This window comes from Homo sapiens, chromosome 13 (assembly GCF_000001405.40).
Source record: "Homo sapiens chromosome 13, GRCh38.p14 Primary Assembly".
Taxonomy (NCBI): domain Eukaryota; kingdom Metazoa; phylum Chordata; class Mammalia; order Primates; family Hominidae; genus Homo; species Homo sapiens.
In genome coordinates, this window is record NC_000013.11 from 68896066 (window position 1) to 68909884 (window position 13819).

Consider the following 13819-nt stretch of genomic DNA (forward strand, 5'->3'; position numbering starts at 1 on the left):
CAAGAAGAACCCATCAGGTTGTAACAAGTTTCAGGGATTCTGAATAAAGACAGAAGTGTGACTTCATGTTTATGATTACCAGGATAAAAATTCTTATGGAGTGATGTCTACAATAAAAAGTAGGTCAAATGATTGCCTTGCCTTTTAAATGTATTATATAATCATATGATTTCTAAATTTAAAGCATGTTAGATACCTATAAAGTGAAAAGAACTTTACTGTTATAAATTACACTGGGATAGGACATTAGAACCTATGATAATGATAGATACACTGCAATGTATATATTACACAAATTATAGTAATACTATATATAATAGTGAAATATGCTGAGAAAGTGCTGTCAAATAGGAAATCTGACATTTTATTCAATCAATTTGAATTTTAATTAACAAGAAATTTATATGTTGCTAATATGCTTATGTTTTTTCAAGAGAAACCACTTAATGGAATATATATTGGAATATATCTGGAAATTTCCTAGAGAATTCAAAATTTCAACTAAATATTGCCTCAATACCCATAGATCATTTTCTACTGTGCAGATAAGAATAATATGCAGTTTTCTTGAATGTTCCCCTAAAGTTAATATCAGTATTATGGAAAATGCCAATTGTTTATCCTCTAACAAGATAATACTTACTTTAAGTGATTTGTCTGGTCCTTTTTAACTAAAACGTAAAGACAAGTTTCATTGATTTAAAATTTAAAAATCAAAAGGTTTCCTTAGAGTGACTCAAATTAATGGGAGTTTTCAAAATAAAAATGATGTTACCCTAATAAAACTTTAAGGTGTGTCTGTAAAATATACTGCCTGATATTAAGTCACTCAAGCTTTTCTTTTATTTATATATGCCTTATATTTATCATCTATCTTACACCATTAATTTCATCTGTTTTTACTTTGAATCTATTTGAAATTAATTTCTTGTAGGCAGCATATAGTGGGTCACGTTTTTCTTCCATTAGGAAAATCTCTTTTCTTTTTATATTTAATGTAATTATTTATATTTTTATATTTAATGTAATTATTGCTATAAGCTTTATATATGCCATTTTATCAATTTCTTTGTTTGTTTTCAGAGATTTTCTTTCTATTTTCCCTTTCATTTCCTCTTGTGGGCTACTTAAATATTATTATTTGTTTCATGTTTTTATGGAAGTGTTTTAAGTATAAGAGTATAATTTATTTGTTCATTATGCACACCCATCCTAATTTGTTGACAATGCTCAAGTTTAAATCTGTGTGTGAAGTCCTAGTCAACTTCTCATGTGGCCCAGGCATTAAAATGACCAGAAACTACATAGAAACATCTCTGAGAATTGAATGACAGTGTGGCTCACTTCTCAGGTGTTCTATTAACACCTGAGTAGCACACTGCTGGGAAGACTAGAATAGCAATGCAAAGAATTTCAAAAGTAAATTTAAAGTTTCTTTCCTCTGTCCTTTCTGTAATCTTATTCCCACTCTGTTTGAAAGAGGCTAGGGTGTGGTCCCTGTTTGAAGTTGTTTACTTCAGGTGGTTGTTGGAGCTTCATCTCAGAATACTTGCAACACTATCTGGTAATGGGGGAGCACTACCTTTATTCATTAGTGCAGGGCAGGAATTGGCAGCAGGATTCTGTCTTACAGTAACCATGACAGCAGTGCCCTGTGGAAAATGGGAAGCATATAGAGCAAATATTGTCAGAAGTGTTTTGTTCTCCTGGGCCTCCCAATCCCTGTACTTTGGTTAGAGAATGAAGTAATTTCTTGTTTGTATTGTTGGTTGTTTTTTCTGAATCTGTTGCTGTTTCTAGGAAGTCATTTGTAACTGTTGTAGTGCCCAGGCTGGGATATATAAGAAGTAAAAATGTACCAACATACAAATGTAAAAGAATGTCAAGAAAGCCCTCAAGTACTGAAGTCACTAGTCAAGCTGTATTCTTTCCCTCCTTTCACAGTCTTTCTAGTCTTTTGTACATTTTGTTCAGGGTTTACTCTTTGTAATTATTAGTAGGGGAGAGGTCTGTGGACTCACTCTGTGTTCTCTGAAGCTGGAAGCTTCTTAATTTTATTCTAAATGTCTTTACATGAGAGTTTAAATTTTTAAAAAGCAGATTACTTTTACCCACATATTTATCATTTTAGTTGCTGTTGATTAATTTGTATAGATATAAATCTGGACCCTATTTTCTATTTATCTAATAATTTGGTGTTTCTTTTAGTACTGGTATGTTGACAATTGGATACGGTGAGTTCTAGATTTCTCTTCAAAGAATCAGTATGTCAGTATGTTCAGTTCTTTGTCCTCCATTTTAAAGTTTAACTTCCTCGTAGTTTCAGTAAACAACTTTTTCAACCAGTTTTAATCAGTAGTTCACATCTGTTCCCCTGGTCACCTACTCTGCCCTGACTCATCCCGGTCACCTGCTTTGACCTGAGTCACCCCCGGTCACCTTCTCTGACCTAAGTCACCTTTAGTTCCCTGTTCCTAACCGTCCTTCCTGCCAAACTACTCACCCCGCCTCTCTGGCTCATACCCCTGCTCTCTTTAAAATAGCCATTCAGAATTAGCTTAGACTGTGTGATCCAACCCTAGCCAATATGGGAACCACACAGCAGTAGGGACTACCTGCATCAGGAATAAGAACCCCTCCCCCTCCCTTGTTCAGGTGTGCTCTTGCCATTACTCCATTCGTAAGTTGCACCCTTCTATAGAAGTGAAAATTGCCTTGCTGAGAAAATTATATTTATATTCTTTGCTATTTCTTTGTGGCACTGAGGAACAAGCATTTTGTTTCTAACATTGACAATGAATTGTTTGTTTTTGTATATCTGGAGTTATTTCATCATTATTTTTGTATGATATTTTGTTGTGCATAGAATTCCATATAAATGATACACAGGTAAGTAAATAATTATTTCAATATATTCTGAATTTCACTGTATAATAAAAGGCTGTTGTCATTCTTAAAATTGTTCCTGTAGTAATATGTCTTTTCATTATGTGGCTGCTTTATACTGGTTTAAATAATTTGTTTATTATGTACCTATGTGGTTTTATTTATGATGCTTTATTTACATGGGCTTTTTGGATTTATACTTTTCACAACATTTTAAAAGTTGTCAGTCATTACTCTACTAAATATATTTCTAGCCCTCTCTACCACAAATGGTTTCTCTCCTTTTGAGGCTCAAATCAGGTAAATAGTAAGCAACTTGGTGTTTTTCTAGAGCTTATTAATGCTGTGCTTAATTTTTTTAGTCTTTTATTTATATATGTTTCATTTAGAATAATTTAATTTCTGTGTTTTCAAATTTATGTATTTGTCTACAATGTCTAATATTCTGTTAATATGTCTATTGTATTTTTTAATCTCAGATATTATATGTTTCAATTATAGTTTATTATGTGTGTGTTTTTAACCTTCTCTTTCTCTGCTTTTCATGGTTTTCTCTATAGTCTCCAACATGAGTATATTGATAAGACCATTTGTTAATGCCCTTGACCACCCATTCTATCTTCTTTGTCATTTCCAGGTCTAATTCTATTACCTATTTTTTTCTCTTATACTAAGCAATATTTCTAGAATTCTTTTCGTGTCTAGTTTTTTTTGTTTTTTTTTTTCTTTTTTTGACCATAGTCATGGTAATATATATTGTTTTTAGGTTCTACACTTTGGATTTTAGACTAAGGTCAATCATTGGAAATAATTTTTTTGTTTGTTTTTTCCTTCAGGGCTTTATTTTAAGCTTTGTTAGATCCAAAAGAGATTTTTGGTGTTAATTTTATTCTTTTATATTTTAAATACTATTCTGAGAACTCTATGTGATGCCTATTTGTTAGGAGTTTTTCCATCTTGTCTGTTAAATAATGTGACGCCTATTTGTTAGGAGTTTTTCCATCTTGTCTGTTAAATAATAAAATAAAATATTCTCAACTCTATGTGAGTCTTAGTATTGTTCTGAGTATTACTTGTTATAATTGTTTTTCCAGTCTCTGTTATTTTTTAGTAGGCATTCAGTTGAAGAATTAATGGGGATTATATTCACATTTTTGGAGTGAAAGTAATTCAGACAATGTATCCATAAATAATTAAATAACATCTAGATTTATTTTTACTTCATTAAATTAATTTTAGCATGTGCATTGGATAATAAAATATTAATTCTTTATTGCCATAAATAAATTTAACATTTTTATGTGCATCTTTCTTTGTTTTCTTGAATTATTCAATAATACTTGTTTGCTAACAGGTGCTCAAATTTTATAAACAAACACATGCACATATACACTTACCCCTTTATTGTTTTACTTATAGGCTATAGAATATGCTTATCTAAATGCCTTCAATTTGTAATCAGCTTTATTAATGTTTACTATATATTACAACAATATAATCATTTTACATATTATATTGTTTCAAATACTGAAACAATTATAAATTAGCATAAAAAATATAAAAAATTGTCATCATGCCAAAAGCTCCTTTGTATCCATCCAACTTAAGGGCCTGACTCAAACCACAAACACTCCCTAATCTGCCTTAACTCACTATAGTTTACATCTATCTTTTGTAGAGTTTCATATAAATAAAAATCTATATTACGCTAGTTTCTCATTTCTTTGGTTCATCAAAATACATTTGAGATTCACCTATAATATCAGATAAATCAATATTGCATAGGTTTCTGTTTATCACTGAGTATGACTAGAAGATGAGTGACACTCATGCATAGTCATGCAAAACATAATGACATTTTAGTCAACAACTCATCATATACATGATGGTAGTCTCACAAGATTTATAATATATTCTTACTGTACTTTTTCTATGCTTAGATATGTTTAGATATGCAAATACTTAAACACTGTGTTAAAATTGCCTACAGTATTTAATGCAGTAACATGCTGTACAAATTTGTAGCATAGGAGCAATAGGCCATACTGTACAGCCTAGATGTGTAGTAGTCTATAACATGAATTAATAGGTTTGTGCAAGTACACTCTATATTGTTTGCATGAGAACTAAACTGCTTAATGATGCATTTTTCAGAATATATCCCCATCATTAAGAGATGCATGGCTGTATTTTTTTCTATTTGATTATCCAGTCGTCCCAGCAAGATTGTATTTAAAGTGTACTATTTTCCTATTTAATTTTCTCAGAATCTTTGCTATAAATAAATTAACCATATATTAATAGATTTTATTTATGGATTCTATGAAGTTACACTGATTTATATGTCTAATTTACACAAATACCACACAATCTAAATATTTTATATTTTGATGCTATTGCAAAGGAGATATTTTTAAATTTCACTTCCCAAATGTTTATTGGTAGCATATAGACATACAAATATGCAGTTTTGTGTAATGCTGACCTTGTTTTCCACAAACTTACTAAGCTCACTTATTATCTCAAGTATCTTTTCATAGTTACCTTAGGATATTTTTCATGGATGACTGTGGTACTTATAAATAGGTACTTTCAGATTTTTTTCTGTATCCTTTTTATATCTTTTTCTTACTTTATTGCAATGACTAGGACAGCCATTACATTATTCAATAGAAGTTGGATTATTTTAGTTTCAAATACAAGGTTACTGGTATTAGATAGATTTAAATTTTATTTTCATATTACCTTGTAACCCATGACTTTTATAAGATAAATTAATACTTTTAGTAGATTTCTTTTGTAGTTTACTTAAGACTTTTTTTGGATATATGAGTCAGAAAATTTAGGGTAAATATAATTGTAATTTTTTTCTTTTAATCTACATGTCATTTATTTCTGCCTTTATGGTTTTTTACATTTTTAGTTATTATGGGTACAAAATATTAATAGTTAGATATATTTGTGGGGTACATGTGATGCTTTGATGCAGGTATACAATGTGTAATAATTACATCGGGGTAATTAGAGTATCTTGCAACTCAAGCATTTAGTATTTCTTTGTGTTAGTAATACAATTTCATTCTTTAACCAATATTAAAATATACAATAAACAGTTATTGACTATATGAACCCTGTTGTGCTATAAATTACTAGATGTTATTCATTCTATCTAACTATATTTTGCACCTATTAGTCATCTGCCCAACTACCCTTCCCAGCCTCTGGTAATCATTATTCTACTACCTCCATGAGTTTAATTGTTTCAAATTTTAGCTCTCATATAAGAGGGAAAACATAAAAAATTATATGTGCCTGGCTTATTTTACTTAACGTAATGTTCTCCAGTTTTATTTGTGTTTTTAGAAATGACAGAATTTCATTTATTTATGGCTGAATAATATCCCATTATGTATATATGCCATGCTATCTTTATTCATTCATCTACTGATGAACACTGAAGTTTTTTCCAAATCTTGGCTATTGTGAAAAATGTTACAATAAACGTGGAAGTGCAGATATTTCTTTAATATACTGATTCCCTTTATTTGCATTTATACCTAGTAGTGGGTTTGCTGGGTAAAATGGTAGTTCTACTTTTAGTTTATAAGGAATCTCCATGCCATTCTCTTTTTTTGTTTCCTTTTTTGTCTTTTTTATTTCCATACCTAAAGTGTATGTAATAATTTACATTCCCGCCAACAATGTACAAGGGTTTCCTTTGTCTACAACCTCACTAGCACTTGTTATCGCCTGTCTTTTGGATAAAGTCAATTTTAATTGGTTTGAGATGATAGCTCATTATAGTTTTGATGTCCGTTTCTCTGATAATTAATGATGTTGAGCATTTTTTACATACCTATTGGGCCATTTGTATGTCTTCTTTTAAGAAATGTCTATTCAGATCACTTGCCAATTTTTAAATCAGATTATTTGATTTTTTTCTATTGAGTTGTTTGGACTTCTCATTTATTCTGATTAAAAATCCCTTGTCAGATGGGTAGTAGGCAAATATTTTCTCATTCTGTGAGTTGCCTATGCATTAGTTGATTGTTTCCTTTGCTCTGAAGAAGATTTTTAGCTTGATGTGATTCTACTTGTCTGTGCTTTTGTTGCCTATGCTTTTGAGGTATTACTCAAAAGATCTTTACACAGACCAATGTCCTGCAGAGTTTCTCCAGAGTTTTCTTTCAGTAGTTTTATAGTTTCAGGTCTTAGATTTAAGAGTTTAATTCATTTGGATTTGATTTTTTTTATATGATGAGAAACAAGATTCTAGTTTTATTTTTCTGCACATGTGTTTGTGTGTGTTTACAGGGAAAATAAATACATCTCTCTCTCTATCTATCTATCTATCCATCCATCTATCTATCTACCTAATCTATCTATCCTGTCTATCTCCAGTTTTCAAAGCACCATTTGTTTAAGAGACTATTCTTTCTTCATTGTATGTTCTTGGTGCCTTTGTCAAAAATGGGTTCATTGTAGATGTGTGGATTTATTTATGGATTCTCTATGCAGTTCCCTTGGTCTATGTGTCTGTTTTTATTTCACTACCATGCTGTTTTTGTTTCTGCAGCCCTGTAGTATGTTTGAAGTCAGGTAACGTGATTCCTTCGGTGTTTCTTTTTGCTCAGAATGGTTTTGGCTATTCTGAGTCTATTGTGGTTCCACAAAAATTTTATAATTATTTTTTCTATTTCTGTGAAGAAAATCACTGGAATTTCGATAGGAACTGCAATAAACCTGTAAATTGTTTTGGATAGTATGCACATTTTAACAATATTGATCCATCCAATCAAAGAACATGGAATATATTTTATTTTTTTCTGTCCTCTTCAATTACTTTTGATAGTGTTTTATAGTTTTTATTGTAGAAATTGTTTACTGCTTTGGTAAAGTTGATTCCTAGGTATTTAATTTTATTTGTAGCTGTTGTAAATAGGATTACTTTCTTGATTTTTTTTAAGATTGCTCACTACTGAAATACAGAATTCTACTGATTTTTGTAGGTTAATTTTTGTATTCTGCAACTTTACTAAAACTCTTTTTCAGATCTAATTGTGTTTTTGCTTTCTGTTTTGCTGAAGTTCTTATGTTTTGTATTGATACAAGATCACATTGTCTAAAACAAAATAATTTGACTTCTATTCCAGTTTAGATGTCAGTTATTTCTTTCTTTTGTCTAATGCTCTAACTAGAACATCCAGTACTGGTATGGTTTGGATCGGTGTCACCCACCCAAATCTTATGTCAAATTGTAATCCCCAGTGTTGGAGCTGGGACCTGGCAGATGGTGATTCAATCGTGGGGGTGGATTCCTCATAAATTATTTAGCACCATCCACTTGGTGATATTCTCCTAATAGAGTTCTCATGAGATCTGATTATTTAAGCATACAGCACCTTGCTTGCCCCTCTCTCTCTCTTGCTTCTGCTCCCACCATGTCAGACACCTCACTCTCATTTTGCCTTTTGCCATGATTGGAAGCTTCCTGATGCCTCCCCAGAGATGTAAGCCACTATGCTTCCTGTACAGCCTGCAGAACAATGACATCATTAAACCTCTTTTTAAATAAACTACCCAGTCTCAGATATTTCTTTATAGCAATGTGAGAATGAACTAATCCAGAAAATTGGTACCAAGGAGTGAGGCATTGCTTCTCACTTGGTCCTTGGTGGCTTCCACAAACTATTAAGCATGCAGGTACACAGAGTCCAAGAGTTGAGGCTTGGGAGCCTCTGCCTAGGTTTCAAAGAATGAGATTTCAGAGACACCTGCTCCTCAGGTATCTTTAGATTTCAGGTAAAGATACTTGAAAATGTGGAAGCAGCTTTGGAACAGGGTAAAGGCAGAGGTTGGAAGAGTTGGGAGGGCTCAGAAGAAGACAGGCTGATAAGAGAAAGTTTGGAACTTTCTAGAAACTGGTTAAATAGCTGTGACCCAAATGCTGATAGTGAAATGGACAAAGAAAAACAGGCTGATGAGGTTTCAGATGGAGATGGGGAACTTTTTGGGAACTGGAGCTAAGGTCACTTCTGTTATGCATTAGCAAAGAACCTGGCAGCATTGTGCCCCTGCTTTAGGGATTTGTGAAACTTTGAACTTGAGAGTGATGATTTCGGGTATCTGGTGAAGAAATTTCTAAGCAGCAAGGCAAGTAGCCATTCTACTTTTAACCACCTATATTTATATGTGTGAGCAAAGAAATCACCGAAAATTGGAACTTACATTTAAAGGGGAAGCAGAGTGTAAAGTTTGGGAAATTTGCAGCCTGGTCATGTGGTAAAAAAGAAAAGCCCATTTACAGTGGAGAAATTCAAGCAGGCTGCAGAAAGTTGCATAAATTAAAAGGAGCCAAATGCTAACAGCCAAGACTATGGGGAACAAGCCTTGAAGGCATTTCAGAGACCTTGTGGCAGCCCATTCCATCACAGTCCTGGAGGTCTAGGAGGACTGAATGTTTCCTGGGCCATGCCAATGGCCTTGATGTGCTGAGCAGCCTCAGGACACTCTCCCTGCATCCCAGCCACTCCAGGTCCAGCTGTGACTCCAAAAGGCTCAGATATAGCTCAGGCCACTGCGTCAAAAGGTGAAAGCCATATTCCTTGGTGGCTTCCACACAGTGTTAAGCATGTGAATACACAGAGTCCAAGAGTTGAGGCTTGGGAGCCTCTGCCTAGATTTCAGCAAATCTATAGAAAAGCCTGGATGTCCAGAGAGAAGCCTGCTGCTGGAGTGGAGCCCTCATGGAGAATCTCTACTAGAGCGGTGTGGAGGGGAAATGTGGGGTTGGAGGCCCCACACAGAGTCCCCACTGGGGTACTTCTTAGTGGAGCTATGAGAAAAGGGCCACCATCTTCCAGACCCCAGAATGGTAGAACTACTGGCAGCTTTCAATCTCAACATAAAATAGCCACAGACAATGCCAGCCCATGAGAGCAGCTACATGAACTGGACCCCATAAAGCCACAGGGGCTGAGATGCCCAAGGCCTTGGGAACCCACCCCTTGTACCAGTGAGCCCTGGATGTGGAAAATAAAGTCAAAGGAGATTATTTTGGAGCTTTAAGATTTAATTACCGCCTTGTTGGGTTTCAGACATGTGTAAGGACTGTCACCCCCCTTTTTTTTTTGGCCTATTTCTCCCTTTTGGAATGAGAGTATTTACCCATTGCCTATACACCTTTGTATCAGTCTGAATATGGGCACCAACCTCACATGTCAACAGGACTCTGGAGGATAAGGTACAAATCCACATGCCATTAGGTTCATTATTTTCTGCCCAGGGCGTCACTGCTCCTTGTCAGCTGCTATCTCCTCCATGTCCTCCTTTCCTCCCCTGGGCCACTCTAGTAAAGGTCTCAAACTCCAGAAATCTGAGTTCCTTAAAAAACTCCTTACTAAGAACTAAGGGTGACAAAAACTAACAGGAAGAAGTAACTCTCCTATGACTTGCTCCTCTTTATACAACTTCATCAAAAAAGGAATCAAATTTACCTACAAATGCTACAATGAGAAGAATTGGAAACCCTGTTAAAAACACTCCGTATGACCATGCAGGCTCCTGAGAGTAAATTCCACAAATTTCCATCTGTCTCCTTGTTTTTTGTTTCCATTGTGTGCATGGGTTTTTTTGTGGACATGTGTTGAGAGAAGTGTATATGTATGTATGTATATATGGATGGATATATTTGTTTATGTGACTGTGTGTGTATAGTTTTATGCACACTTATGCATACATGTGTCTTTATTTACTTATTTATAACACCTCTCATTGATACATGTCTCCTGAGTTGCTCCTGTTAATTCACTTCGGTGTGGACTAGAAGATTGTAAAATAATACAGTCAGACAGGAGACGTAATTCTAAATTTACTTTTTTGAAAAAACTAGCTTCCATTACTCTAGAAATAAACTGGTTATTTTTTAACTATTCATGTATATCACTGTTTGAATCTGGAATATCACTGTTTTTATTAGAAATGCGGATTTATATAATGGCTACTAATATCTTAGGCTGGTGAAAATAGTAATGCTTCCTGGTTTAAGTAAACCTCTTTATTATGACCTTAGTCCCAATGTGTGACAGCCTTTGTAGTGGCAGTAATTTAAAATTCAGCTTCAGTGTGTAGGTAGTCATCCCTCTTATTCCATTTAATGTTCTGCTTTGAAGGCCCTCCATTACCTCCTTATTTTCACCCAGCATGGTGGTGTGTCTCTCCTGACCCACAAATAGGGTCAAGTAACTAGAGATCTGACACAAGGGTGCAATCCAATATGATGGTGATTTGAGGTTTGGAGCAGTACCCTCCATGATGGGAGAGTTCTATAAGATGGAGAACACCTCCAAAGCTCTTAGATCTGTTCCTTTCTGCTGAGGGCTTCACAGTTTCCTGACTACTCCTGCCTCCTCCTTGTGCCAAGTAGGATTCTCTCCTCCCCTGGCCCACTCTAGTGTGTATCATAGACAGAAAATCTGAGTTTCCTAGGCATTTGTCTGCTACTAACTAAGGGTGACAAGATACTAACAAGAGGAAGCCTCCCTCTATAGTCTGTTTCTCTTTTTTCTGAAACAATTATAAAAGTGTGGAAATTTATCTATATGTGCTACAGCAAGAAGATTAAGAAACTGTGTCAAAAAACCACTCTGTGTTGGCATGAACACTCCTGAGAGTAAATCCCACTAATCTCCATCTCTTTCTCTGCCACTTTTTTGTGTCTGTGTGTGTTTGTGTGTCCATCTTTTATAACTCACATGTCATCAGTGGCTCTATCAATGGTTACTCCTACCAGTTCATTTGGATCAGGGCTAAAGGAAAAATATGGTCAGATATGTATCTTGAAAGTAACTAACTTGTTTTTGATTTTACAAGGTCATAGATGGAAGGAACTTGCTTTGTCTCAGATGAGATTTGGGAATTTGAAGTTATGAGTTAATACTGAACAAGAGTCAAGACTTTGCAAGACTATTGCGAAGCCATGATTGTATTTTGCAATGTGAGAAGGACATGATATATGGGTGGGGAGGGGAATAACAATATGGTTTGGATCTGTGTCCTCACTCAAATCTCTTGTCATATTATAATCCCAAATGTTGGAGGCACAGCCTGGTGGGAGGTGATTGGATCATGGGGTGGATCCTTCATGACTGTTTTAGCACCATCTACTTGGTTCTGTTCTCATGATAGTGAGTGACATCTCCCAAGATCTGGTTGTTAAAAAGTGGGTAGCACCTCCTCTTTCCTTGCTCCTGCTCCCACCATGTGAGATAATTTATTCTCCCTTTGCCTTCCGCCAAGATTGAAAGCTTGTTGAGGCCACTCCAGAAACAGAAGCTGCTATGCTTCCTGTACAGCCTGAAGAACCGTGAGCCAATTAAACTTTTCTTTATAAGTTACCCAGTCTCAGATATTTCTTTATAGCAATGTGAGAATAGACTAATACAAGTACTATGTTAAATAGGAGTTAAAGTGAGCATTCTTGTCTTGTTCTAGATCTTGGAGGAAAAGCTTTCAGTTTTTCCCCATTCAGTGTTATACTGTTGGATATGACTTTTATTGTGTTGAGGTTTATTCCCTCAGTGCCCACTTTTTATTGTTTTTATGATAAAAGAATGTTAAATTTTATCAAATGTTTTTTCAGCACTTTTGAAATGGTCATATGGTTTTTGTCCTTCATTCTGTTGATAAGTTATATCACATTGATTGAATTGCATGTTGTATCAGGCCATTCTTGCATTGTCATGAAGAAATACCTGAGACTGGGTAATTTATAAAGAAAATAGATTTGATTGGATCACAGTTCTGTGGCTGTACAGGCAGTGTGGTGCTGGCATCTGCTTGGCTTCTGGGAGGCATCAGGAGCTGTTACTTATGGTGAAGCTTGAGCAAGCATATCATATAGTGAAAGCAATAGCAAAAGAGATAGAGTGGGGTGAGAGGTGCCACACACTTTTAAACTGATAGATCTCATTTGAATGCAGAGCAAGCACTCACTTATTACCAAGGGGCTGGACCAAGCCATTCATGATGAATCCACTCCCATAATCCAAACACCTCCCACGAGGCCCCACCTCAAACATCGGGGATTGCATTTCACATGAAATTTGGGTGGGGACAAATATCTAATCCATATCACATATGTTAAACCATCCTTGCATTCCTGGCATGAATTCCACTTGGTCATAATGAATAAGCTTTATACCATGTTGTTGAATTAGGTTTGTTAATATTTTGTTGAAGATTTTTGTACCCATGTTTATCAGAGATATTGGCATATAGTTTTCTTTTTTTTGTTGTGCCTTTGGTTTTGGTATTAGGGAAATACTAGTCTCATAGGATGAGTTTGGAAGTACTCCCTCCTCCTCCATTTTTTGAAATAGTTTGAGTAGGGTTGGTATTAGTGCTTCTATAAATGTTTGGTAGAATTCAACAATGAAATCATCAGGTTCTTGGCTTTGATGGAATAATTTTATTATAGTTCCCATCTCATTAATTGTTATGTCTGTTCATACTTTGGGTTTCTCTGTGGTTTGATGTTAGTATGTTGTATGTGTCTAGGAGTTCATCTATTTCTTCAAGGTTTTTAAATTTATTGGCATATTATTGTTCACAGAATGAGTTTGGAAGTATTCCAAACAAAGTCTTTAATGATATCAAATTTCTGTGGTATCAATTGTATTGTCTTTTCTTTCCATGCCAGATTTTATATATTTGAGTCTTCTGTTTTTATTAGTTAATCTGGCTAGAGATTTGTTAGTTTTGTTTATTTTCTTAGAAAAACAACTTTCCTTTCATTGATCTTTTGTATTGTTTCCTTGTTTCAATTTTCTTTCTACTCTGATCTTTGTTAACTTTTTTCTTCTACTAATTTTGAGTTTGGTTTGCTCTACATTTTTTTATTCTTTAAGATGCATTGTTGAGTTATTTGAAGTTT